At 59.2% G+C, this 27,573-nt stretch overlaps 1 protein-coding gene across 1 annotated transcript in view, besides 3 other annotated features; it reads right to left on the reverse strand.

Moving 5' to 3' along the window:
• Positions 1-443: 443 nt before the first annotated feature.
• Positions 444-27,573, reverse strand: part of RADIL (Rap associating with DIL domain) — an 86,662-nt gene continuing 59,532 nt past the window's right edge. The window contains exons 6-15 of the mRNA NM_018059.5: positions 25,783-25,943; positions 20,628-20,740; positions 19,617-19,854; positions 18,667-18,839; positions 8,955-9,105; positions 6,935-7,143; positions 5,042-5,384; positions 3,560-3,699; positions 3,019-3,158; positions 444-2,872 (exon numbers count right to left, since the gene is read on the reverse strand). Coding sequence (NP_060529.4) covers positions 2,767-2,872; positions 3,019-3,158; positions 3,560-3,699; positions 5,042-5,384; positions 6,935-7,143; positions 8,955-9,105; positions 18,667-18,839; positions 19,617-19,854; positions 20,628-20,740; positions 25,783-25,943 — 1,774 coding nt within the window. The 3' untranslated portion in view covers positions 444-2,766. The remainder of the gene's footprint in view (positions 2,873-3,018; positions 3,159-3,559; positions 3,700-5,041; positions 5,385-6,934; positions 7,144-8,954; positions 9,106-18,666; positions 18,840-19,616; positions 19,855-20,627; positions 20,741-25,782; positions 25,944-27,573) is intronic.
• Positions 1,567-1,616: a silencer, noted in NCBI's record as "silent region_17904". NCBI's record gives its function as "represses an Ori minimal core promoter by ATAC-STARR-seq in GM12878 lymphoblastoid cells {active_cell/tissue: GM12878}" and the evidence as "EXISTENCE:reporter gene assay evidence [ECO:0000049][PMID:35858748]".
• Positions 11,661-12,162: an enhancer, noted in NCBI's record as "H3K4me1 hESC enhancer chr7:4847903-4848404 (GRCh37/hg19 assembly coordinates)". NCBI's record gives its function as "activates a minimal SCP1, AML or CMV promoter by ChIP-STARR-seq in primed H9 embryonic stem cells {active_cell/tissue: H9 hESC(primed)}" and the evidence as "EXISTENCE:reporter gene assay evidence [ECO:0000049][PMID:30033119]".
• Positions 12,163-12,662: an enhancer, noted in NCBI's record as "H3K4me1 hESC enhancer chr7:4848405-4848904 (GRCh37/hg19 assembly coordinates)". NCBI's record gives its function as "activates a minimal SCP1, AML or CMV promoter by ChIP-STARR-seq in primed H9 embryonic stem cells {active_cell/tissue: H9 hESC(primed)}" and the evidence as "EXISTENCE:reporter gene assay evidence [ECO:0000049][PMID:30033119]".

Genomic DNA, 27,573 nt, shown 5'->3' on the forward strand with positions numbered 1-27,573 from the left:
CAACGTCGGTTTTCAGGTTTTGCAGTGGGAGAAGCTGGTGGAGGTACACGGGACTCTGCTATTTTTGCAGCTTCCTTTGGATCTATAATTATGTCAAAATAAAATGCTTTTAAAACACAAAAACAGGCCGGGCACGGTGGCTCACGCCTGTCATCCCAGCACTCTGGGAGGCCGAGGCAGGCAGATCACCTGAGGTCAGGAGTTTTGAGACCAGCCTGGCCAACATGGTGAAACCTGGTCTCTACTAAAAATACAAAAATCAGCTGCGTGTGCTGACAGGTGCCTGTAATCCCAGTCAGGAGACTGAGGCAGGAGAATCACTTGAACCTGGGAGGCGGAGGTTGCAGTGAGCCGTATTGCACCATTGCACTTCAGCCTGAGTGACCAGAGTGAAACTCCATCAACAAAACAACCAAAAAACAAAACACCCATAAGAAGTGTTACCTTTCACAGTGTTGTAGATTGTCTGGGGCCTGGCTGGGAAGTCGTTCTGCTCCACGTGGTGTCCCCGGGATCACTGGTGGGACTGCATTCGCCTGGAAGCTCAGCAAGACCAGAACAGCCAGTGGCAGCCCTCACCAGTCCCGCACCTCAGCTAGGTGCTTCAGCGGCCAGAGGCTAGCTGGGCCTCCCCGACTCCACGGGGCCTCCCTTCCTTGGGGTGATGCCAAGAGCTTCTTTCCATGGATGCTGAGTTCCAGGAGCATGAAAATAGAAACCAAAGGCCCTTCAGTCTGGCTTGGAAGGTCCCAGAATATCACTTATGCTGCATCCTGTTGTTCGGAGCAAGTCAGAAGGCCGGAGAATATTGCAGGGAAGAAGAGATAAGCCCCCTTCTCTTTGTGGGAGGAACTGTTGGTGGCCACCTTTGGAAATGCCTTGCCACTGTCTTTCCTCTGGCCACAGTCCACACCCCTCCCACATAAAAAATATACTCAACCCCCTTCCACCGTTAAGGCATCAAATCAGAGTCCAGGATCCTGGGATCTGCACCAGGTCCAGAAATGCAGACCGTCCAGAGCTGTGAGACATTCTCGGCAGTGCTAACACACACGTTGTGGGACTCCTAGGAAAAGAAACAGAACAAGGCCAGGCATGGTAATCCCACGCCTGTAATCCCAGCACTTTGGGAGGGCAAGGCGGGCAGATCACTTGATGTCAGTTTGAAATCAGCCTGGCCAACGTGGTGAAACCCTGTCTCTACTAAAAGTACTAAATTAGCCAAGCGTGGTGGCAGGCGCCTGTAATCCCAGCTACTCAGGAGACTGAGGAGAATTGCTTGAACCTGGGAGGTGGAGGTTGCAGTGAGCTGAGATTGCACCACTGCACTCCAGCCTGGGTCACAGAGCGAGACTCCGTCTCATAAAAAAAAATTAAATATTTATATTTTATATAATAAAATATAAAAAATGTTTATAAAATATACGAATATATTACGTATACATGAATATGTAATATATTCATATATAATTATATATTTATATATATTCATATATTTTACATATCTTAAATATATATACAAACACTATATATATATATATATTTTATCCAGTATTTTGGGAACCTGGCAGTGGTCGCCGTTTCGAGCCAGGCGCAATGCGGAGCCGCACACAGAACTGCGGGTCGGCAGAGGGCGCGGGGCGGACGCGCTGCACCTCGCCGTAGCGCACACCAGGGGGCAGCGTGGAGCTGCACGAGGCCCAGGGCCTGGGACAGACCCAGGACACCGATCTGGGGACCCCGCACAGACCTCTGTCCCAGTGAGAGGTGCATCTGCAACTGATGCCGGGACCCTCTTCCCCAGGGTTTCTCTGTTGCTATCAAAGATGACCCTGGGCCACCAGTTCCACCACAGCCAGGAGGGCGCGGAAGCCACCCACACCCAGTTGGTGGAGCTGCTGAGGATGCCCAGCGACCCACGCTGTCACCCCGAGGCAGCAAGTGCCCTGCCCTGGTCCTGCGCATGGTCAGCCAGCTGGTGGAGAGGGACGCTGGCCTCCTGCCCGGGTTAGGGCCGGTGGCCAGGGGGACGCTGGTGAGGATTAAGGGCCTGGGGCCGCCAGCCTGGTATCAGGGCCACGCTGGTGGCTTTAGTAGGGGAGAGGAACTCAGGAGGGAGCAGGAGTCCTGGGAGAGGAAGCAGGGCCCAGGGTGGGCTCGGCGCCTCAGAGACCATCAGGCCGGTCCACTTTCCAACGCCTGGGTGTCTAGACCTTTCTCTGGGGCCTGTGCTGAGCAGCGGGATCAGAAGTCCAGCATCCTCTGCCAGGTCTGGCCCTGCTTCAGCTGGGAGGGGCTGTTGGAGCTGCTTCCTGCAGTGCCCTGTGTCTGGGTGGGACGGGGGCAGGGAGAGTCAGTTCAGATGATCCCCTGATGACAGCTGTCACTGCATTCTCCCGTGCCGGTGGCAGGCAGAGGCCATGGGGAGCCCCTGCGGCCCCTCCGAGCAGCCCACGCCTGCTGCCCGAGTTGAGACCCCAGCAGGGCACCCTCTAAGAACGGGAAAAATAGTTTATTGAACCGTACTTCTCCATTGAAGTCTTTAAACATAAAAGCTCTGTAACAAACATCACAATTTCACGTCATCTGCCATATAAATAGAACCTACACTGAGATGCATGTTATCAACAGGCATGTCCCCAGGGTGAGGCTCCCCACCCGGGACCCAACTTGGTCAGTTACAAAACAGGGACGAAGGCGGGAGGAAGCCCAGTGTCACCAGGTGGGACCGGGTGCCGGGCCTGTGGGGGTGTCCTCGCAGCCCCCCTAGAGAGGGGGCGTGCGGAAATGGATCTTCTTGGCTGTTTCCACGTCGGACTTCGCGACCAGGAACCGCATCTTCTTCCCGCCATGACGGATCAGGTCCACAGCTCTGAAATCCATGCCAGAGGTGGGGGTGGGCAGGAGGGCACCAGGGGAGACCCACAGGGTGCAGCCGGGCCTCTCCTTTACCCCAGGTCCACTCCCCTGAGCAGGGCATCTGGGAGAAGGGGCCGGGCGTGCATGCGGTGGGGGTACCTCAGGTAGCCAAGGCCCAGGAGGCTGCTGCCATTCACCTCCAGGATACGGTCCCCCAGCGACAGGCGCCCGTCGGCCGCTGCGGGGCTGCCCGGGAGCAGGGTCTGGATGTAGAGCCCGGGGGCGCCCAGGTGCGTGTGCTGGGGACAAGCAGAGGCCTCAGAGCTCCGCAGGCCCGACTGGCTGTCCCCAGCGAGGACCACTGCAGCCCCTCCCTTGGCACCTACAGGCCCCCGCCTGGCATCCAGCCAGGCCCACTCATGGTTTCACGCGTCCCTCCAGAAAAGCAGTGGACACCACCGTCCCCACAGGCCCAGGACAGACCCCAAAGGCTTGAGGACAGAGGCAAGAGACAGCAGGCCCAGGGGGCGTGGCCGTTGGACAGGCTGGGTTCCCCTCCCAGCTGCAGAGGCCAACCCCACTCTCCTCCCCGAAGGCCTTCCTGTAGCCACGTGGCCACGCAAGCTGCGGCCAGGCTTGCATGAACAGGCGGGGCCAGGCAGCCAGTATGGGGGTGCGGCGAGGGTCCTGGGCCACTCACCATCCCGTCGATCAGGCCCATCCCCAGCCCGGAGGGGCCTCGTTCCAGCTCCACCGTGAAGACGTAGCAGAAGTCCTCGGTGCTGGAGCTGCGGCTGGACGGGGCTGGAGGGGACTCCTCCGCAAGGGCTGCAGAGTCTCCTGGGTGGGGGCCAGGAAAGGTGGGTGGGAGTGAGGCGCCAGGAATCACGACGAGGAATGGGATGTCCTGGCCTGGCTGCCTCTGTAGGGCGTCAGGGATGGGATGGCCTCCTGTGGCTCCCAGGAGACGCTGTTCAGGCAGAATGTGACCGGCAACCCAGACATTAGGGTCGGGGTCCGCCCATGGGCGACACCCCCATGTTCCCTGAGGGAGCACCTCAGTCCCCGCCCCTGGCAGTCCCAGGACACTCGCCCCTCTGGGGGCGGCTGTTTTCCAGCTCCAGGGACCCACGCGGTTCTGTGCCACCTCCTCAGCAATCTCTGCTCCTCCTCCTCCTCCCTCCACACCCAGATGTGGCCATGTGCACCCTGAGGGTTCCCACCGCTGACCAGACCGGGGCCCCAGGCCCTAGCCCAGCCCAGCCCAAGCACCTGCCCTGAGGGCCACCAGCTGGTGCCCTCTCCATAATGGTGATCCTGCCGTGGGTGCACTTAGGTCAGAGATGAGCTGTGCACCTGAGCAAGTGGCCTGCCTGGGACCCAGCTTGGCCAGGTGGCCCCAAGCCACAGGGGACACTCTGACTCTGCACACGCACCCAGGACACTTCGCTCCTGCAAGGCACACCCAAGCCCCTCACAGGAGGCCAGGGCCGGCTGGGGCTGCCTCACCCTCAATGCCCTCCCCAGCCTAGGCCAGCTGCGCACACACACTCATGCACACATATACTCACAGCCATGCACACATGTGCAAGCATGCCCATGCACACGTGCACTTACACCCATGCACAGATGCACACACAATGCACACCATGCAGACACACCCATGCAGAGATGCACACACAATGCACACCATGCAGACACACCCATGCAGATGCACACACCCATGCACACACGCACCAGCACACCCATGCACCTGTGAGCACACATATCCACACGCACAAGCACACAGGCACACACAGGCCCTGCCCTGGAGGACTCCAGCTCCACCTTCTCCCTGAAGACCCCTGGGTTCCCCCTCAGCACATCCTCTCCACTGGCTCAGCCATCCCTTCCTCTGCCCAGTGCAGGAGTGACTCTGAGCCACTTTCTAGACTCTCTCCCTCCCAGATCACAGTGAGTATCTGCCCAAGACGTGTCAGCGACTGAGCGACCGTGTGGCCCAGCTGCTGGGGGCTGAGCAGCCCTGAGCCCTCTCCATCTGGCCCCGTCTCAGGTTGCAGGTGTCTGTGGGGCAGGTAAGGAAACCTAGGACCCAAGGGGGGAACGATCCCAGGGGACCGGCCATCAGGGTGCTGTGCGGGGTCTGGGGTGGGTTCCCGCCTGAGCACCAGGCAGGGCTCACCTTCCGGAGCTGCACCCCGGAGGCCGCTGAGTCCGTTCCTCTGCCTCTCTGGGAGCGCTTTTCCACAGGGGCCGCCGGACTCTGGCCAGTCGGGGTCCCCAGGCTCAGGGCCAAGTGGAGTGCTGGGAGGCGTGAGCAAGCAGGACGAGTCCGTGTGCGGGGGGCCAGCCTGGGAGCCCCCACGGCTGGGTTGCCTTCCAGGGGGGGCCTGTGCCCAGGGAGCCCCCCTCAAGGGAAGAGTACGCTCCGGGGCCACTTCCCGGGCTGCTGGGCCAGGGTCCCTGGGAGCCAGGGGGCAGCTCGGGGCCTCCAGGTGCCCGTCAAGGACCACGTGGTGCATACCCTAGGGAGAGGAAGGGTGACAGCTCAGGTAGAGGAGTGGCCAGGTGGACACAGCACTCGGGCAACTGGGCAGCCTGCAGCAGAAGGGCCGCCAGGCCGCGGGGCAGAGGTCAGCAAAGGACTCCCGCAGCCTGTGCAGCTTGAGACGCGCAAGAGGCAAAGGGGCTTCCCCGCCATCCGGAGCACAGCCTGCGCTGGGCCAGGACTCCCGGGGTTCCCAGAGCTCCCGCCTGCTGCCCCCAGCCCAGCTTCCAACCCTTCTCCTGTCCTCCCGGGCACCTCGGGGCACGCTGGCTGGGGGGCCCCCTCCCCAGGTACCTCGGGGCATGCTGGCTGGGCCCCCTCCCCGGGTACCTCGGGGCACGCTGGCTGGGGGGCCCCCTCCCCGGGTACCTCGGGGCACGCTGGCTGGGCCCCCTCCCCGGGCACCTCGGGGCACGCTGGCTGGGCCCCCTCCCCGGGCACCTCGGGGCACGCTGGCTGGGGGGCCCCCTCCCCAGGTACCTCGGGGCATGCTGGATGGACCCCCTCTCTGGGCACCTCAGGGAATGCTGGCTGGACCCCCTCCCCGGGCACCTCGGGGCACTCTAGCTGGGGGGCCCCCTCCCCGGGTACCTCGGGGCATGCTGGCTGGACCCCCTCCCCGGGCACCTCGGGGCACTCTGGCTGGGGGGCCCCCTCCCCGGGTACCTCGGGGCACGCTGGCTGGGTCCCCTCCCCAGGCACCTCGGGGCACGCTGGCTGGGCCCCCTCCCCGGGCACCTCGGGGCACGCTGGCTGGGGGGCCCCCTCCCCAGACACCTCGGGTCATGCTGGCTGGACCCCCTCCCCGGGCACCTCGGGGAATGCTGGCTGGACCCCCTCCCCGGGCACCTCGGGGCACTCTGGCTGGGGGGCCCCCTCCCCGGGCACCTCGGGGAATGCTGGCTGGGTCCCCTCCCCGGGCACCTCGGGGCACGCTGGCTGGGGGGCCCCCTCCCCGGGTACCTCGGGGCACTCTGGCTGGGCCCCCTCCCCGGGCACCTCAGGGCACGCTGGCTGGGGGGCCCCCTCCCCGGGTACCTCGGGGCACGCTGGCTGGGTCCCCTCCCCGGGCACCTCGGGGCACGCTGGCTGGGGGGCCCCCTCCCCGGGTACCTCGGGGCACTCTGGCTGGGTCCCCTCCCCGGGCACCTCGGGGCACGCTGGCTGGGGGGCCCCCTCCCCGGGTACCTCGGGGCACACTGGCTGGGCCCCCTCCCCGGGCACCTCAGGGCACGCTGGCTGGGGGGCCCCCTCCCCGGGCACCTCGGGGCACGCTGGCTGGGTGGCCCCCTCCCCGGGCACCTCAGGGCACGCTGGCTGGGTCCCCTCCCCGGGCACCTCGGGGCACGCTGGCTGGGTGGCCCCCTCCCCGGGCACCTCGGGGCACACTGGCTGGGCCCCCTCCCCGGGCACCTCGGGGCACGCTGGCTGGGTGGCCCCCTCCCCGGGCACCTCGGGGCACGCTGGCTGGGTCCCCTCCCCGGGCACCTCGGGGCACGCTGGCTGGGGGGCCCCCTCCCCGGGTACCTCGGGGCACACTGGCTGGGAGGCCCCACTGCCAGGCCTGCCAGGGCTGCCGGGGCTGGCTCTGCTCCGCAGACCCCACAGAAAGTGGCGGACGTAGAGCAGGTGCTGGTAGATGCTGTCGTCCAGGCAGTTGGCTTCCAAGTCCACCTGGAAGCCGTCGCTGGGCAGGACGATGGGTGGGGGGTTTTCGTAGGACTCCAGAACATCCTCTGCAGGGGAGAGAGGATGCCCGTAATGGCCACAGGAGAAGCTGCCTCCCTCGCCAGGCCGCCCCGCCCAACGGTGTGGGAACCCAGGGGCCAGCAGATTGAGCCCTGAGTCCCCTGCCCTGTGGACACAGGAGGCTGGGATCCTGGCCACAGTGACTGGCCCCACCCTAGGACTCATCCCTTCTGAATTCCCGCCGACCACCCGGTGTGACATCCGAGCAGTTCAGGACTGAGAACAAGGCCTTGTAGCCAGGAACCCTCCAGCCCCACTGAGCCGCTCTGCACTGGGCCTGTCTCTGCCCCACTGGTCTCTGATGGTGTCTCCGGGTAACTGGAGCTCCCCCAGCCCGGCAGAGCTGGACGCAAGCTCCTCCCAGGGCTGGAGCCGACTGCCTCCCTGCAGGAATCACGGGACCCAAACGGCCTGTGTGCGGGCTGCTCTCTGCCCCCAGGAACAGGAGCACCTTTCAGGCGGCGGAAGAGTGCGTGCATACTGAGCTCCTAGCTCCCAGCACAGAATTCAGGCCACAGAAATGAATCAATGCGGAGGAAGGACTTAGAAGGTGTCAGGTGGAGCCAGGGTTCCTGTTCAGAGATGTTCTCCACGGTGACCCGGGGCTGCGGGGGGGCATCCAAGGCCCCATCGCCTCTGCGCCTCCCGCCATCCCGTACTCTGTTTTGTTGAGGTGTTAACACATAATGCAGATGAAGGGAGATGTGTGTATAATCTACACATTATAATGCACCCCTGGCCGGGGGTGGCGGCTCACGCCTGTAATCCCAGCACTTTGGGAGGCAGGAGCAGGCAGATCGCCTGAGGTCAGGAATTCGAGAGCAGCCTGGCCAACATGGTGAAACCCCGTCTCTACCAAAAATACAAAAATTAGCCAGGCATGGTGGCACACACCTGTAATCCCAGCTACTTGGGAGACTGAGGCAGGAGAATCGCTTGAACCCAGGAGGTGGAGGTTCCAGTGAGCCAAGATCGAGCCACTGCACTCCAGCCTGGTGACAGAGTGAGACTCTGTCTCAGTCAATCAATCAATAAAAGGCACCCTCGGCCAGGCACGGTGGCTCATGTCTGTAATCCCAGCACTTTGGGAGGCTGAGGTGGGCGAATCACCTAGGTCAGGAGTTCGAGACCAGCCTGGCTAAGATGGTGAAACCCGTCTCTACTAAAGATTCAAAAATTAGTTGGGCGTGGTGGCGGACACCTGTAATCCCAGCTACTAGGGAGGCTGAGGTAGGAGAATCGCTTGAACCTGGGAGGTGGAGGTTGCAGTGAGCTGAGATTGCACCACTGCACTCCAGCCTGGATGACAGAGCAAGACTCTTGTCTCAAAAATAAAAATAAAATAAAACGCACCCCTATGTATGCACGTACACATGTATGCGCACACAGACCCCTCCGTATGGACATGTGTGTGTGCGTGTGCACATACATGGCTCAGGGATGCGTCCCCACGGCTGTGTACCACCATTGCTCCCTTCCTGGGTAGCCATACAACAGGGGAGGCCCCATCCTCCGGCTCCGTGAGGGAACGAGGGGGCCTTGGACCTGAGCCTGGAGTTTGGAACTTGGGCATGGACTCTCGGCTCCTTGACTCCCCCGCCGAGGAGGTCCCCGGATCCCCAGGTTGGGGATGGGGCGGGGCGGGGGGGTCCTCTGGGTGGAGGCTCCTCCAGGGAGGTCCCCAGGAGAGAGGTCCCCCACACCCCACTTCAGTTGGGATGAGAGCATGCTGCCTCCAGCCTCGGGGCGAGTCTCCCACTGAGTCCCCAGCCCTCTCCTGCCCTGGGGCAGGGCTTACCTGACCTGAAGGCCTCGGGGCTGTCCTGGGCCCCTGGCTCCCAGGTGCTCATGGGGCCCATGGCCGAGGCCAGCTGGTAGTGAGTCAGCAGCCGGTGCAGCTGTGCTGGGCTCAGTGCGGGGAACGCAGCCCGCAGGGCTGTCCAGCTCATCTGGGTGACAAGAAGGAGCTCATGGTCACAGGTCTCTGGGTGCAGACCCCAGCCCAAAGAGGGATGGCCTCCACAGGTGGCCTGGGGGTAGCCAGCTGAGGGGCCCTGTGGTCCTCACTCCCACCAGGGGCCATCTGTGAGGGGGACGGTGTCACAGCAGCAGTTCACCCCTGGCACTTCCAAGGGCAGCTGCTCCAGGGAGAGGCCGGCCAGTGCCATCGGGAACCCCCTGCCCAGGGAACCCACCCCCGTCTCAAGCAAGGGCCGGCCTCACAGGCGGCCGCCAACCAGAGAAACCACTACTGGGAAATGAACAGTGAAATCAGATTCCTGCCTCCAACGGTGTGAAAGAAATCAATCAAGTCGGCTAAAAACCTGCCTGGAAGGCAGGGACATTCATCATTTAGGTGACAGGAGGCAGGGAAAACATTTGTTTGTTTGCTTGTTTTTTGAGACAGAGTCTCATGCTGTCACGCAGGTTGGGGTGCAGTGGCTCAATCACAGCTCACCGCAGCCTCGACCTCCCAGGATCAAGCGATCCTCCCACCTCAGCCTCCTGAGTAGCTGGGACCACAGGCTTGCACCATTATGTCCAGCTCATTAGTTTTTTGTTTTTGTTTTTTTTTGTAGAGATGGAGTTCTCACTATGTTGGTCTCAAACTCCTGGTCTCAAACTCCACGGCTGGTCTCAAATTCCTGGCCTCAAGCAATCCTCCCGCCTCAGCCTCCCAAAGTGTTGGGATTGCAGGTATGAGCCACTGGCTCCGGCCCAGGAAAACGTTTTAGGCAAGACAAAAAGCCTACACCGTAAGGAAGGGTGGATCCCTCCAATAAAATTAAACAGCCTCTGCGGCCCGCCAGGACCTCCATCATCATCCTTCTGGGGTTCCTTTCCCCGGCTCCCAGCCGGTTCTTATTTTCTGCAATTCATTTCTTCAGCTCTCTGGTTTGTCCTGTTTCTATGGAATAGATCTTCTAGTAGCTTCCCAAAAGGGGCGCATTGCAGGAAACCCACTGCCCTGCGTGCTGGAACTGTCTTCACCTCCACCCTGGACTGGTCATCTGGCTGGCACAGAACTCCAGGCGGGAGGGCGTCACCCTTCGGATTCTGCAGGTGCTGTTTTGTCCTGTGACTCCCGTGCTGCTCGTCCAAAGCAACCTGAGTGCAAATCTTCAGGGTCTGCCTTGTACTGATTCTTGTCTGGAAGCCTGTGGGTTCTCTGCACCCATCGTCCTGCAGCCCTGGGATGCTGAGTTTTGCTGTAAGCCCACTCTTGGCAGCAGCTCCTCCACCTCAATGCGTGGCTCTGGAGACTGCCTGCACCTGCCTTCCCCGCGCCCTCCACCCCTCTGCTGGCTCTTTCTGGACTCCCACTGTTTGGATGTGGCCTCGCTGCTGGGTCCCCTCTGTTCTCACCTTTGCCTCCTCGCTCTGTTTCTCTCCCATGTGTTTTTCTGCCCATATCCAGGGGCCTGGGCTGTGGCTACCAGATGTCCACGCTGAAGGATAATCGGTGTCTCGGGCGTCGTGCAGGAGGGGTGAGGGCACAGAACGACGTCCTCCAACACCACCGGCCCCCACCACCCTCACCCCTTACACACCCTTCAAGAAAGCCTCTGGTTTGCCCGGGGGTGGTTCTGTTTGATTGTGAGTTCCTAGAACCTTCTCTACTCTCACTTCTGTGCTTGGTCCGGGACCAGAGGTCGGGGCCAAGAGATCAGCTTCAAGGGAACAGAACTCTCCTCCTTCTTCCCTCTCCTTCTCCCCCTCCCTCTGTCTGTCTCCTCTCCCTCCTCCCTCTCCGTCTCCCCTCCCTCCTCTCTCCCTCTGTCTCCCCTCCCTCCTCCCTCTCCTTCTCTCTCTCCCTGTCTCCCCTCCCTCCTCCCTCTCCTTCTCTCTCCCCCCGTCTCCCCTCCCTCCTCCCGCTCCTTCTCTCTCTCTGTCTCCCCTCCCTCCTCCCTCTCCTTCTCTCCATCTCTCTCCCCTCCCTCCTCCCTCTCCTTCTCCCCCTCCGTCTCTCTGCCCTCCCTCCTCCCTTTCTCCCCCTCCGTCTCTCTCCCCTTCCTCCTCCGTCTCCTCTCCCTCCCTCTCTCCTCCTTCCTACCCCTCTTCTTCTCTCTCCCTCTCTCTCTCCCCTCCCTGCCTCTCTCTCCCCCCCATCTCTCTCCCCTCCCTCTTCCCTCTTCTTCTCCCTGTCCCTCCCTCTCTCCACTTCCTCCTCCCTCTCCTCTCCCTCCCTGTCTCTCTCCTCTCCCTCCTCCCTCTCTCCCTGTCTCTCTCCCCTCCCTCCTCCCTCTCCTCTCCCTCCATCTTTCTCCGCTCCTTCCTCCCTCTCCTTCTCTCCCTCCCTCCCTCTGTCTCTCTCCCCTCCCTCCTCCTTCTTCCTCTCTTCCTTCTCCTCCTCTCCTTCCCCTCTTCCTCTCTCCCCCGTCCTTCTCTCTCTCCCCTCTCTCCCTGTATCTTCTTCTGCCTTCTTACTCTCCTCCCTACCCTGGCATCCCTCCGCCCCCTCTCTCTCCCCGCTCCTCACCCTCCTCTCTGGAGGGCTTTTCTCCCAGGCTCTGCACAGCTTTTTATTTCTGCTTCCACAGTTTTATTTTCCAAGACCGCTCTTGTTCTCTCATGGATACAATCTTATTATTATTTTATGGATACTATATCTTCTCTTATTTTTATGAAGCTATAAGTGACTCTTTCACTAAGCTTCTCCTTGAATTGTCTGTTTCAGGGGTCATCAAACTAGGGCCAGCGAGGCCTATTTTTATAGGGCCCCCAAGCTAGAAATGGTTTTCACGTTTTTAAAGGGTTTGAGAAAAACAAAACAAAGAAGGAGATGGGACATAGACAAAAGCGGCCGCAAAGCCCGAAGTCCTCACAGCTTGGCCCTTTACAAGAAGCAGCCCCGCGGCCCTGGTCTCTCCTTCCAACGCCACTGCCCCTCCGCGTCCCCTTCCGACGCCACTGCCCCCGTTCCAACGCCACTGCCCCTCCGTTTCTCCTTCCAACGCCACTGCCCCTCCGCGTCTCCTTCCAACGCCACTGCCCCCCGTTCCGACGCCACTGCCCTCCATTCCAACACCACTGCCCCTCCGTGTCTCCTTCCGACGCCACTGCCCCTCCGCGTCTCCTTCCAACGCCACTGCCCCTCCGCGTCTCCTTCCAACGCCACTGCCCCCCGTTCCGACGCCACTGCCCCCCCACGTCTCCTTCCAACGCCACTGCCCCTCCACGTCTCCTTCCGACGCCACTGCCCCCGTTCCAACGCCACTGCCCCCCCGCGTCCCCTTCCGACGCCACTGCCCCCCCTTGTCCCCTTCCGACGCCACTGCCCCCCCGTTCCAATGCCACTGCCCCTCCGCGTCTCCTGTAGACGCTCTGCTCAGGATGCGGGGCGCAGGACAGGCGCTTCCTGGCCTCAGCGTGGGGTGGCCCGGCCGCTTCTGGAAGACCCCTGGCGCTGTCCCCCGCCTCCCCGGGCTGTCACTGCCGACTCGGGCCTGCCCATCTCCCGCAGGGGCGCTCGGGCCTGGCCGCCAAGCTGGGCGAGAGGCCGGGGCCCCCCTTCCATCACGAGGTTCCTGCCCTCGGCTCGGCCTAGTTTCCCTAGCCAGGAGAAGTCCTGTTTTCAACGTTCTAGAAATATCCCCGCCCGGCTGAGCGGGGGGAGGCGGAGATCCTGAGTGTCGCTGCTGCCTCCTTTCCGTGCACACAGGAAACCACACATCTGACACGCACAAGCCAACGAATTTCCCCCGAGGAACACGCTTGTGTGTCCAGCCCCCAAAACAAGAACAAGAACGTGGGCGGCGGCTGCTCGGGAGCCCCCAGGCCCGCCCAGGCACCACGGCAGGTCCCGCCCCACTTCCAGCCCTGCAGACACGCTCCTTGAACTCGACTCCTTCAGCTCAACCTGCCCTTTCAGGAGTATTTTACATCTTATTTTATTTATTTATTTATTTTATTTTATTTAATTGATTTATTTAGAGACGGGGTTTCGCTCTGTCGCCCAGGCCGGAGTGCAGTGGCGTGATCTCGGCTCACTGCAACCTCCATCTCCCGAGTTCAAGTGATTCATACGTCTCAGCCTCCCGAGTAGCTGGCTAATTTTTGTATTTTTACACCACGCCTGGCTAATTTTTGTATTTTTTTAATAGAGACAGCGTCTTGCTCTGTCACCCAGGCTGGAGTGTGGTGGTGTGATCTCGGCTCACTGCCAGCTCCATCTCCCGGGTTCCAGTGATTCATGTGTCTCAGCCTCCTGAATAGCTGCCTAATTTTTGTATATTTACGCCATGCCTGGCTAGTTTTTCTATTTTTAGTAGAGATGAGGTTTCAGTGGTGGCCAGGCTGGTCTCGAACTCCTGACCTCAGGTGATCCACCCACCTCGGCCTCCCAAAGTGCTGGGATTACAGGCGTCAGCCACCATGCCCGGCCTTATTTATTTTCTTTTATTATTTAATTTTATGACAGGGTCTTACTCTGTCACCCAGGCTGGAGTGCAGTGGCACGATCACAGCTCACTGCAAACCCCCTGTGCTTAAGCAATTCTCCTGCCTCAGCCTCCCCAGGTAGTTGGGAATACACATCACCATGCCTGGCTAATTTAAAAAAAAATTTATGTTTGGAAAGATGATGTGGGGTGGTCTTACTGTGTTACCCAGGCTGGTCTGGAAGTCCTGGGCTCAAGTGATCCTCCTGCCTCGGCCTCCCAAAGTGCCCAGCCGACGGTTCAGGTGTGTCCGTGTCTCCCAGGAACGAGTTTGCTCAGTCACGTTGCTCTGCCGTATTTCACTGTACTGAAGAGACTGCTTTATTCATCCCTCATGTTGTTGATAAATAGAATATGGGTTTTTCCCAGTCTGGGGCGGTTACGAGTGGCGCCACTGGAAGCATCCCTAAGCGGGCCGTGGCGAGGGACCCACGGAAGCATCTCCGTCGGGGAAATTGCTCAATCGGAGCACATGCACTCGGTCAGCTTCAGCTGACGCTGCCAGACGGCTTTCCAAAGTGGCGAGCCTCATTTACAACGTCACCAGGAACACCTGAGGGTTCAAACCACTGCACCTGCTCACCAGGGCCTGGCTTTCTTCCTTTCAACCATTCTCATGTGTTCGGTGTTTAAAACGCTGAGATTAGGCCGGGCGTGGTGGCTCACACCTGTAATCCCAGCACTTTGGGAATCTGAGGTGGGCGGATCACCTGAGGTCAGGAGTTTGTCCACCAGCCTGGTCAACATGGTGAGACTCCATTTCTACTAAAAATACAAAAATTAGCTGGGTGTGGTGGCACATGCCTGTAACCCCAGCTACTCAAGAGGCCGAGGCAGGAGAATTGCTTGAACCCAGGAGGTGGAGGTTGCAGTGAGCTGAGATCACACCACTGCACTCCATCCAGCCTGGACGACAGAGTGAGACTCCGTCTCAAAAAACAAAAAAAAAAACTGTTGAGGTTTGTTTTTGCTTTTGTTTTTTAAGGCTAGTCAAGTGAAGCAATGCGAGTGGAGAAGAAACAACAAAATCTGTAACTGGTTGTGATGAATTAGTTCTAAACACCAATACACTCGGACCAGCCTGAAATGTGGAGAGTTTGGGCTGCGTTTCTCTGATGACGAATGAAGTTGTCCATCTTTCATGCGTAATTCTCTTTTCTTACAGCCCCTTTTCGAGTTTTGCTGTCAAGGTATTACTGGTGTTTTAAAGTGAGGTAGGGTTTCCTCTTTTTCTACTTTCTGGTAAGAATTTGGTACTGATGGTATTATTTCTTTTTTTTTTTTTTTTTTTTTTTTTTGAGATGGAGTCTCACTCTGTCACCCAGGCTGGAGTGCAGTGGCGCAATCTCGGCTCACTGCAAGCTCCGCCTCCCGGGTTCACGCCATTCTCCTGCCTCAGCCTCCCAAGTAGCTGGGACTACAGGCGCCCGCCACCGTGCCCGGCTAATTTTTTGTATTTTTAGTAGAGATGGGGTTTCACCTTGTTAGCTAGGATGGTCTCGATCTCCTGACCTCGTGATCCACCCAACTCGGCCTCCCAAAGTGCTGGGATTACAGGCGTGAGCCACCGCGCCTGGCCTAATTCTTCTTTAATGTTTAAAATAATTCACCAATGAAACCATCTGGACCTTGAATCTTCTTCAGGGGAAAATGTTAATCAATTTAATTTCTTTTTTTTTTATTTGAGACAAGGTCTCATTTCTGACGTCCAGGCTGGAGTGCAGTGGCACAACCATAACTCACTGAAACCTCAGTCTCCTGGGCTCCTGGAATCCTCCTGCCTCAGCCTTCTAAGTAGCTGGGACCACGGGCATGCATCACCATGCCTGGCTACTTTTTCTGTGTGTGTTTTTGTAGAGATAGGGGTTCCACCATGTTGCCCAGGCTGGTCTTGAACTCATGGTCTCAAGGGATCCTCCTGCCTTGGCCTCCCAAAGTGCTAGGATTACAGGTGGGCGCTACCACACCTGGCCTTTCAGTTTCTCTAAAGCATGCAGGACCATTCAGATTTTTAACTTCCTGTTGAATCAGTTTCAATAAGTATTCTTTTTCTTATTTGTCCATTTCATCTAAATTGTCAAATTTATCAGCAAAAAGTTGGTTATGATCTCCTCTTACTACTAATTTTTAATTTTTACTGTGGAATCTGAGTGATGGCCTCCTTTTTCTGATACTAGCAATTGTGTTTTCTCCCTTATTCAACTTTCTATTTTTATTTTATTATTATTATTTTTGAGACAGTCTTGCTCTGTCACCCAGGCTGGAGTGCAATGGCATGATCTCGGCTCACTGCAGCCTCTGCCCCCCAGGTTCAAGGGATTCTCCTGCCTCAGCCTCCCAAGTAGCTGAAATTACAGGCACGTGCCACCACGCCCAGCTAATTTTTGTATTTTTAGTTGAGACGGGGTATTGCCATATTGGGCAGGCTGGTCTCAAACTCCTGACCTCAAATGATCCACCTGCCTCAGCCTCCCAAAGTGCTGGCATTACAGGTGTAAGCCACCACACCCAGCCTCTTATTCAACTTTTCAAAGAACCCACTCCTGGCTTTATTGCTTATCTCAACCCTGTTTGCTTCCTAGTTCACTGATTTTTAGCTCTCATCCGTCATCTCCTCTGCTTTCCTTGGGTTTGATTTGTCATTCTCTTTCTTACCTCATGATTATTCATTCTTGGCCTTCCTTGTTTTCTAACATATACATATAAGGCTATAACTTTTCCTCTTAAGACTGCTTTAACTGCAGCCCACAGGTTTGGATATTTTGTATCTTCATTGTTGCCAATGAACTTAATGCTGAGTTGGGGTTGGCAAGCTTTTGGTGAGGCTCAGACAGCCTCTGCTTCATCCTTACCCCAAGGTTCTTCTTTCTCTCTCTCTCTCTCTCTCTCTCTCTTTCCTTTCTTTCTTTCTTTTCTTTCTTTCATAGTTGAGGTCTTCCTCTGTTGCCCAGGCTGGAGTGCAGTGGTGTGATCATGGCTCACTGAAGCGTTTAATTCCTGGACTCAAATGATCCTCCTACCTCAACCTCCCAAGTAGCTGGCACTACAGGCGTTTGCCCCATGCCTGCCTCTCACCCCAGTGTTTCCACTGGGGGCCTGGTGTTTACTTCCCAAGGGGTCCTGGACTCGTCATCTCTGTCTCCTCTACACTGTGAAGGCACCACAGATTCCACTCCCCTTTTCAATGCTTTTGGTTCCGTTTTAAAGCCTCTCTCCATCGCACTCCCTGGAGATTCAGAATGTTGGCAAGTGTCTTAGGGAAAAGCCGGCCATGCAATTCAGGCCCCTGAAGTCTCTGAGCTTGCCTCCCTCCTGTGAGATGGCCAGTGCTGTGCTGTTCCAGTTTCTGTTTCCCCACCAGTGGCCCCTGCCTGGACAAAGCCTAGATTCTCAGCCTCACACCGTCACCTGCTCCCAGGACAGCAAATGTCCCCAGGGAAAAGCAACAGGAACTTCAGTCAGCTCTTTGTGGAGGCTCACTCTCTCCTCATCCTTCAGGAGCTCGCTCACGCCTTTCAACAGATGACTTTGTGTTTCTTTCCGGCTGTGCGGGCTGTCCTCAGTGGAACTGCAGGCTCAGCTGCTCCATCCAAGCCTCAGTGCTTGCCACAATGTCTATCAACTGTTCTTCTGTTTTAGCCCCATCTTGACATCGGTGTCCAGAGGTACCTGGTGCCACCAATTCCTGAGCCTCTTGGTGGCTTCCTGTAAACTGGGTTGCTTCTCAGGAGTCAGATTGCTTTTTTCTTTTTTGTAGAGATGGGGTCTCGCTGTGTTGCCCAGGCTGGTCTCAAACCAATGGCCTCAAGTGATCCTCCCACCTCAGCCTCTCAAAGCACTGGGAGGACAGGCATGAGCCACCGTGCCTGGCCGAGTCAGCTTTCTTCAATCTGCTAAGGCAGTTCACCCATCTGCTTTCTGCCTTCCAAAATCGCATTGCTTTTGCCTCCTCTAGATTTTATCCTCATGGGTTTGTGGCATTAAAAAGCATTGCTTTACTTCTGTTTAGTGATACTGTAGGAGAAGCAAACTAAATTCATGTGTTCAATCTGCCACACGTAGGATCCAGACAGCCTCATTTTACGAATTTTCTACAGTCAATAAAAATGCTTCACTTTTTTTTTCTTTTGAGACAGGGCCTCACTTTGTCGCTCAAGGTGGAGTGCAGTGGCATGATCTCGGCTCACTGCAACCTCTGCCTCGCGGGTTCAAGCGATTCGCCCTGTGGCCACTGTCACCATCACAGTACAGCATGTTCAGCGTTTTCCAGGCAGGAGAGGAAACCATCGGTCTATTTCCATTAATTACCTGTGATGACTGTGTTGGGAAGGGGGGTGGTGAGTGGCTGACTGTGTTGGGAGGGGGGTGGTGAGCAGCGAGGGAAGCAGGGAGGGGCATGTCGGTTTCCCATTGCCGTTGTGACAAATGCCCACACGCCTGGCGGTCACGGCCACACAGTGCACTCTCACAGCTCCGCGGCTCCACAGCTCAGCCGGGTCTCACAGAGCTGACAGCAAGATGAAGCCCCCGGGGGAGGATCTGTCTCCCTGCTCTTCCGGTTGCTGTCAGAATTCAGTTCCTGTGGTTGTAGGACTGGGGTCCCGTTTCCAGACTGGCTGTCAGCTGGGGTCACTCCAGCTTCTAGAGGCCACTGCACTCCTGTGCTCCTGGCCCCTCCTCCAGCCTCAGAGCCACATCCCCTCTTCTTCTGTTTCTCTCTGACCTTCTGGACTTGTCTGAGTGGACTGGGCCACCCGGATACCCAGGTCATCTCCGAATCTCAAGGTCCTTAATCGTAGTCACACGTACAGAGGCTTCTTTGCCATGTGGGGTAATACGGTCACAGGGTAAGACGGTCACGGGTCTCAGACATCTTTGGGCCATTATCCTGTCTACCGCAGGTGGACACAGCCATGGAATGGAAGCAACTTTTCTGATTACCTACGGTAGCTTTGAGGTTTCCAGCCAAGAAGCCCCGTCCCGGCCCCCAGGCTTGGTTTGTGAGCCAGGGACCCACAGCATGTGGCCCCGCCCCTCCCCACACTCGCCGCCTCCCATGCGCACCCCTACCTGGATGAGCTGGGCCCTGGGTGTGGCCAGCAGGTTGAGGGTGCAGGAGAGCTTCTGGAAGAAGTGCTCTCCAGCCGCCCCGAAGCCGGCGCTCCGCATCCACTCCAGGAGCTGCTGCAGGCGGGCGCAGGCCTGGACACCTCTGGGCCAGTGGAAGCAGCTCAGGGAGGGGCCTGTGGAGGGAAGAAGGGAGGGTGATGCCTGGGCTGCCCTCCTGGGGGGACACAGACATGGGCCTGTCCCCAGAGCCTGCCCTTCCCGGCTCTGGGCCACTGAGGACATCACAGCTCGATGACAGGCAGGACACCTTCCCTCGGTTTTCAAGGCAACTGACCAGCCTTGAACCCCTCTCTGGAGCGGGGGTACGGTGGGAGGTGAACGTAGCAGGGCAGGGTGGGCTGTGACTGCCGCTGACTCCACAGTGCAGCCCCTAGCTGGGACCCTCTCCCACTCCCAGACACATGTGCCGGGGGCCTGCCCCCACCTGGGTCTCCCCACGCCCCACAGTGGCCCTGGCTGGGAGTGGCCAGTGCTCCTGAGCCCTGCAGGTGATGGGGGAAGTCACTCCACAAGGCAGGGTCCAAGGCCAGAGTCCGCGGCTGCACAGACCTGGGTTCCATCCTGGCCCTGACATGTCCACCGGGCAGTTCTGGGACAGTCCAATGATGCCCTGAGCCCGTTCCCTCCCTGTCACGGGGAAGGGGTCCCATGCAGACCTCTCGGCCGTGGCTTCTCTGAAACCCCGATGGGACCCTGGCTCCTACGGGATGCGCTGTGCTGATCTGTCCCCCCTCACTCTGGCCTCTCACCCCTCAGGGACACCAGACGCTCAGGGAGCAGGAGGCCAAAAAGGGCAGAGCCGCCTCCAGGAGCTGGCGAGGGAGGCGCCAGCAGCCGTCATGTCCAGGAATGTGAGCCCCCGACCCCTCAACCCTGCACGAGGCCCTCACCCCTGTCGAGGAGCTGGTTGAGAAGCAGTGTCCCGGAGAAGAAGAAGAGGTAGGCGAGCATCTGCGAGGCCACCTCGGGGTGCACCTGCAGCTGCCGCAGGAGGTCCAGGGCTGCCTGGTACACAGACACCACGCGGCGCAGCTCCTCGGGCAGTTCGGGGGCCGAGGACCAGCTCTCACGGCGCTCCGTCTGGAATGGCGGGCACTCCAGGAGTGCCGGGAGGCAGATGTACAGGGACTGGCGGGGGCAAGAGGAGAACAGCAACCAGCATTTCCAGGAGCGCTGGCGGCCGAACGGGGGGCCTGACCCAGCGAGCTCCCCACCCACGCACTGCTTGCAGGGACCCGGCCTCGGTAGCTTCCTGCTGGACAGGCCATGGCTTTGCAAATGTCCAGTGTGGGATGTGGGGACACAGGAGCTGCCTCCTGGGGCTGCTGGGAGCAGAGGTGGGGTGCAGGGGGCTCAGGGGGATCTGCTGTCGGAGGCACAGATGAACTCAGAAGGCGCACAGAGGTGGCGCCTGGGGGGATGGGCTCCAACAAAGGGGCTCCAACAAAATGACGGGAGAGTCACCACTCCCCCAGAAAGTGGCTCACCGCACCCCCGATGCACCCCAAGCTGGCCAGGGCCACAGGGGGACCGGCGGCAGCACCTCTGGCACCCGTGGGTCCAGGGTGACAACAGGGCCATGTCCCTTGCGCCCCATGCTGGGGCCTCCCCCACCTCATCCCTGACCCTCGAAATACTGGCAGGAAGGGGGCGTTTCAAGGCGAGGGAAAGGGAGCTGGGATGGTTCTAGGGCTTCTGTGCGACCTGAGGAGGAGCGGGTGTGGGGGGTGCAGCTGGGCCTGTGCAGAACCTGCAGCCACTGCTCCCTGATGAAGTGGAGCTTGTCACGGTCCCCTCCCTCAGCCCCCCAGAAGGCTCCTTAGGAGAGCCACAGGCACAAGCTTGAGCCCCACTTGATCCCAGGAGCTGCCTGAGTGCAGAAGCAGAGCCCGTCCGTGCACCTTGGAGACATAGTAGACGCACTGCTGGAAGGCGTACAGCACCACCTCCTCCAGCACCGCCATGGCCTCCTCGCTGGCCGTCAGCGTGCAGGAGAACAGCGATTCCTTCGAGCCTGCCGGGAGACAGCCACGCCAATGGTCACAACGGGCACAGCGCTCAGGAACGCAGCAACTCAGCCAGCCGCCAGCTCTTTCCCTGGCGCGGGCACCACCCAACGCGCCCATCTGGGGTCCAGATGCGATAAACTGGCCGAGGGACTCTGGGCCCTGGCTGGGACGAGCGCAGCAAACCTGCCGCCACTCTTACCTGGGGAGGGGAATGCCGGGAGGGGCAGGAGGGGTCCAGACACCCAACATCTCAATGCCCAGCCCAGCCCAGCCCAAGCGCTCATTCACTCCCACGTTCTGGATACGTTTTCTGTTACAACCAACTGCACCCAACATAGCAGGTCCTAACTGCCTCCCCACAGGTCACCTCTCACTCGCGACACGGGTCACAGGACTCTGGCAGCAGCCCCTGAGTGGCCGCCACTCTGTGGAATCATAAGTCTTTTGGGAAGAAAAAGCCCAAATCAGCTATTTCACCCCCACCCCCGGGTGTCAGCCGGGGCGGCTGGAGCTGAGGCTGGGGGGAGCTGCCCACGGAGTGGTTCCTGCCGTCTGGGTGGGGGCTCTTGTGAAGGTGGGAGGCCCCCAACAGGGTGGAGCCTTCCCCGGGGGCTTCCAGAAAGTGAGGGAGCATGTGGTGGTCTCAGTGACTGAGGGTCCCATCAGCACCTGGGGAAGGGGCCAGGACCCTGGGTGTTCCGCCTTTGGGCGCCTTCATTCTCTCCTGGGACTGTGGGCGGCCAACCACAGTGGTGTTCCCTGTCAGCCGCGTGGGCGGCCACAGCTCCCCTCCTCTCCCTCCTGTGGGGCCTTCTTCCAGGAGGGGCAGAGGGGCCGCATCGTGGGGGCTGCCTGTCCAGGCCGCCTGCCAGGGCTGCATGGGCGGCGCCTGGTGAGCCAGGCCAACACTCACCCCAGCGCGGGCCTCCCAGGAGCACAGGCCCCCAGCTGCCCCTCTGCCGGGCAGACTGCACCGGAGGCCGGCCCACTCATGGCCAGGACAATGGTGCGCCAAGCCCTTGGACAAGCCCCTGTCACTTTCGCTCTGCCGCTCCTGGTGCTCCTCCTTCAGGGGCTTGGGGCTGCCTGGCCCCCACCCACCAAGCCCGCTCCCCAAGAACCTGTGAAGCCCCCCAGTGCCTGCCCCACAGGGTCACATCTGGGAACCAGGCAGGGCAGCTGGAGGGACCCCGGGGTCCGGGGCAGTAAGGGGCTCTCGGGCTCTGCCAACCTCAACACTGTGCCCAGAAGCCTCCAGGCCTGTGGAGACACACAAGGTGGCCCGACGGCGCCCACAGCGAGTGCCGGCAAAGGATATTCACAGCCACGGCAGGCGGGTCAGGAGGCTGAGCTCTGTCCCGTCCACCTGTCCTGGTGCCCTGACCCTGGCTGCCTCAGGCTGCCAGGTCTGAGAACCCAGCCCCACATCACTCCCTGGGCAGGGGCGGGGCACTGGTGGGAAGAGGGAAACGGGGCATGGGAATGACAGGAGAAGGTGGCAGGGACTGTGCTGAATGAAACCACAAAGCAGCCTCCAGCCACCCACCACGGGCCTGAGACTCCATTTCTTCTTTTATTTAATTTTTGGTAGAGATGGGATCTCACTATGTTGCCCAGGCTGGTCTGGAACTCCAATCTACCCGCCTTGGCCCCCCAAAGTGCTGGGATTACAGGCATGCACCCCTGCACCCGGCCCTGAGACTCCATTTCTCTCTCTCTCTCTCTCTTTTTTTTTTTTTTTTAAAGACAGAGTCTCACTCTGTCGCCCAGGCTGGAGTGCAATGACACAATCCCAGCTCACTGCAGCCTCAGCTTTCCAGGTTCAAGCGATTCTCCTGCCTCAGCCTCCCAAGTAGCTAGGACTACAGGCACATGCCACCATGCCTGGCTAATTTTTGTATTTTTAGTAGAGACGGGGTTTCACCATGTTGGCCAGGCTGGTCTCAAACTCCTGACCTCATGTGATCTGCCTGCCTCGGCCTCCCAAAGTGCGGGGAGGACAGGTGTGAGCCCAGCCCTGAGACTCCATTTCTAAACCCCCGGAGACGCCTCTCCCTGTGGTACCAGGGCTGGTGGGCATTTCTGAGGATTTCCGACGCCCACGAGCCATTAAGAGGACACACCAGCCGGCTGCCCCTGCCCTGCCCCGAAACTCCAGGACCCCTGAGGAAGCTGGCCCTATCCCTAAAGAAGAAGGCGCTGAGCTCCAGCCACGAGGAGAATCTGAGGCGCACACGATGGTGTGAGGCGGCGCGGGAGGGGCCTGGGTCAGAGCTTTGTACAAAACAGTGTTTGCGGAATGACAACAGCCACGTGACCCACCCTCGGGACGCGACAGCCCTGCTCTCCGAATTCTTCCCACAGACATTTCCTGCAGAGGGTCGGGAGGCTGACGGGGCTCTGCCCCTCCGGCCCCTTCTAGGGGCTATTTCCCACTCTGTTCCCTGGTGCCTGCCTGGCCCTCGACACCCGGAGCCTGCAGGCATCCCTGGGCCCTGGCTCCCATCGCCGGGCCAAACACTGCTCAGGCCCCTGACCAAAAATAACTTCCTCCCAAGACCAAAGGCAGCAGCTCCAACAGCCCAGAGCAATTTTTCCCATGAAGAGCAGCCAGCACGGGGACCACATGGGACCCAGCTGCCTGCGGCCACCAAACCCAGGCAGCCACGAAGCCACGTGGAAAGTCAGCCGGGGACTCTCCAGGAACACAGAGCCGAAAAATCACAGGTCCCTGAGCTGACTCTTCCTGTGGGGGCCGGAACAAAAGGGGCTCCTAAGCTGGCCCCGTCCCCCTGTCACACGGAAGGACCAAGTGCACTGCAAGGTCAGTGAGGGTCACCCTTGGCCGGCCGCAACTCCGGAGTTGCCTCCATCCCAGGGCCACCTGCCGGCTGCAAATCCAGCCCTGGAGGATGGCAGAGTCAGGTCTGCAGGGAGAGGCGACGGGCGCTGTAGTCCCGGGAGCCCAGGAGCCCCAGGGGAGGCCTGTAGCTGGGCAGCTGGAGGTGGGAACCTTGCGTGGAGACTTAGGGACCCACAGTCGTTTACGTCACTTTCCAGGAAAAAGCCAGAGGAAAGGTCTACCCTAGGCCCAGGCCCCATGGACAGGCAGGGGCTGCCCCATCACGTGGGGGGCAAGGGCACAGGCCAGATGCCCGGATGCCCACCAAGGCCAGGAGGGGTTGACACTACCCCCACATATTGAAGGCAGCCCCGATTCCCAGGACTGGGGAGACCCTGGCAGATCCCCACATCCCCTTCCCTGTGAAGGAGGGGAGAAGGAAACAGTGGGAAGGAACCGTGGCCGGCAGGAAGGAACTCGGACAGATCCTGGCCGGCTCTGCCTCCCCCAGGAGCGGGGGCCCCACCCCACAACCTCATGGCCAGGGCCAGCCCGGCCTGTTCCACGCGCCCTCAGTCCAGCCTGGTCTCTGCAGCCCGGCCCCCGCCCGGAGGCTGAGGACTGGGCCCCGACGCATTGTGGGAGCCTGTCCCACCACAGGGTCACTGTGCAGATGCCCCGCCACCTCCCTCTCACCACGGAGAGCCCCTCCTCTCAGGAAACCTGCCCCTAAGGCATGGGGGGGCACAGCAGGGTCCCAGCGCCCCCAACACAGCCTGGCCAGTACCTCGCCTGGCCTTGTGTCCTCCGGGCTGTCTCAGATGCAGCCACAGCCACAGCCCCCTCCCAGGGATGGGGACACAGCTGAGTACACAGAGACCCCGCAGCGTCTGGTAGACTGAGCCTGTGGGAGCTCCTGTCCCTGCACACCGGGCCTGCGCCTCCCTCGAAGCTCAGAGACGCAGCCTGGAGCAGCTCTGAATGCACCACTCCCTACCCGGATCCTCCAGAAGCCAGACCGCCACGCCACGGCCACTCAGGACCCTCTGGCACTGTGCCCGCCTGACAGCCCACCCCACAGATGTGAGGGCAGTGGGTGGACAGCAAGGCCGTTGGGGGCAGAACCAAGGCTTCCCATGAGAGGTCTGGCCCCCAGTTCCCTGGGCCGGCTCCTCACTTCCGCAGCACAGCAGCACAGTCCTGCTGCCCCGTCTGGCTCCATTCCAGGCCCCACACAGTCCTTAGCAGACACATGAGCCGAAATCCTACCCCGGCTTCCGGGCCCGGCCCCATGCCACCTTCCTCTCGAAGCCCCCTAGACTGCCCCGATGGAATCCCTCTCCCTTAGTATTTTCAGAACACTTCCTACTGCATTTCAGAAATCCTGAAATGGTGGCCAGGCACGGTGGCTCATGCCTGTAATCCCAGCACTTTGGGAGGCTGAGGTGGGGCGGATCAGGAGTTTGAGACCAGCCTGGCAAACATGGTGAAACCCCATCTCTACCAAAAATACAAAAACTAGCCGGGCGAGGTGGCATGCTCCTGTAATCCCAGGTACTCGGGAGGCTGAGGCACGAGAATCGCTTGAACCTGGGAGACGGAGCTTGCAGTGAGCCAAGATCGCACCATTGCACTCCAGCCTGGGTGACAGAGCGAGACTCCGTCTCAAAAAAAGAAAAAGAAATCCCGAAATGTGTATTTCCCACATCTTAATCTGTGAAACCGACATAATCTACAATTTCACAACAATGACTGGCAACATCTGTCCTTCTGGAATAACGGTGTGTCTCAGAACGGGCGGCGGTCTCATGGCCGACGCTCTCTCTACCGCCCCTTACATTTGGTTCACGGTGGCATCTGTGTCTCCCCTACTGAGTGATCTGTGTACCCCCCGGGCCCTCCTGCAAGCAGAAGAGTGGGGCTGCGGTCAAGGGGACGCCACCGCACGGAGCACACGGGATGATGGGGACAGACTGAGTGCCAAGGTGCTGTGGGGGGAGGTGCCAGACTGGCCCGTGCCACCAGCACCAGCCTCACAGGCCGTCCCCGAGCAACTGACACATGGCAGCCTAGGGACTGAGGAAGCCCCCGGCATGAATCCACCCCTGCTATCATGGCCAACTAGGTTCCGAGGACGGCGAGGAGATGCCACACTCCCCTGCCTGGGGTGCTGGCGGGGGGAATGGAGGGCAGCGCCAGCCGTACCTGTGATGTCCAGCTGCTCCTCCATGCTCTGCATGTAGAGTGGGCATTTCTGCTGGATAAAGTACAGGAGCTCGATGGAGTTAGACATCCAGAAAAGAATGGGCTGCAAGTCTGGAACCAGATCAGCCATGGCGCAGCTGGCCAGCGAGATGGGCTCCTGGCTACCAAGACAGAAAGACTAAGAGTTACGCGGGGACCCGACCCTCAGGAGGCTGAATCTACCACTCTTTCTACATAAGGATGCGCGTTTTCATGGGACGCTGACAACAACTGCAACCATCAACCTGACACTGCTGGGCGGGGACGTTTAACAATACGTGTACCCGCCTGGCACCTGCCTACAACACCCGACAGCCAGAGGACCCTACAAACCTAGCAGGAAGACAGCTGGGCGCCACAGCCATTGGTAAAAAACCTCGGTAAGTAGATGGCTTGCATGTCTTCTCTTTTGGAATGAGATCATAAAGTGGCTGTGAATGCTGAGAGAATGTGTGCCAATATGTGTGTGTGTGCGTGTATGCGTGCATGGGGGTGGGGGCTGGTCCATGGTTTTCAGAACAAGAAATGTCAGTTCCATTATATTATTTAAGTTAACAAGGTAATTACCAAAGGAAATAAACAATAATAGAGCTATTTTGGGAGGTGCACAAAGGCAAAATGAAATGCTACTTTATTAAAGCAGGAAGTCAGAAAATCACGTGTAAAGTCCATGAATCGCGGGGTAGCAGGCAAAGCATGAGATTTGAAGACTCAGAGGCAATCGTTAGAAACCCAAACTGAGGCCAGGCGTGGTGGCTCACGCCTGTAATCTCAGCACTTTGGAAGGCCAAGGCGGGTGGATCACCTGAGGTCAGGAGTTCGAGACCAGCCTGGCCAACATGGCAAAACGCCGTCTCTACTAAAAATACAAACATTAGTCTGGCTAATTATTAAAAACCTTTTTTTTTTTTTTTTTTTTTAGAGACAGGGTCTTGCTATGTTGCCCAGGCTGCTCTTGAACTCCTAGCCTTAAGCAATCCTCTTGCTTTGGCCTCCTAAAGTGCTGGGATTATAGGCATGAGCCACCATGCCTAGCCCTGATTCTGTATCCATGGGGTTCATTGTTACTCTGAGTAACAAAAGCAGAAGTAGCTCAGGCCCCTGCCTGGCCAGCCCAATGCAGGTAGGGGTTGGGGGGGCGCCCTTCCCTCCCAGGCCTGCTGCCTTCCGGCTCAGTGCTCCCTTTTCAGGGGATGACGGCATCATCAGGGCTGCCTCCTCCCTCAGCGGCAGCCTCCACCGTCAGGCTGGCTTCCAAGCTCAGAGCTCCCAAACCCTTTCTCCCACATCTCTGGCACCAGCCGCAGGATGTGTCTGTCTGGTGTGACTTGACACTGCCTTCTAGTGTCCTCAGCAGCCTCTTGGAACGTCTGAGGGGTGGACGTGGCAAGGCTGTGCTGAGGTGCCCGGGTAATTCCTCATTTAAAATGCCAGCCACACATCTTTCTCACAGGTTGCTCATCTGGTCCATGCACCAGCTCAGCATTAAGCCACTGGACAAGATGCCTGGGACGCCCCAGGGTCCTGGCAGCTCAGAGGATGCATTCATCCCTAAGTCTCCATAATCGCACCTGGCGGACACAAATAGCCGTGTGCCCCTGAGCAGTGAGCAGAAGGCCGTGTGTGCCCCTGAGCAGTGAGCAGAAGGGATCCTTTTGCAAACAGATCAAATCACACAGATCTGACTTGGGTCTGCCTGGGGTGTGGAGGGCGGCCCTGCTGCCTGCCCCATGGCTGGCCCGGGTACCCCTT

The sequence above is a fragment of the Homo sapiens genome, chromosome 7, assembly GCF_000001405.40.
Source record: "Homo sapiens chromosome 7, GRCh38.p14 Primary Assembly".
Lineage (NCBI taxonomy): Eukaryota > Metazoa > Chordata > Mammalia > Primates > Hominidae > Homo > Homo sapiens.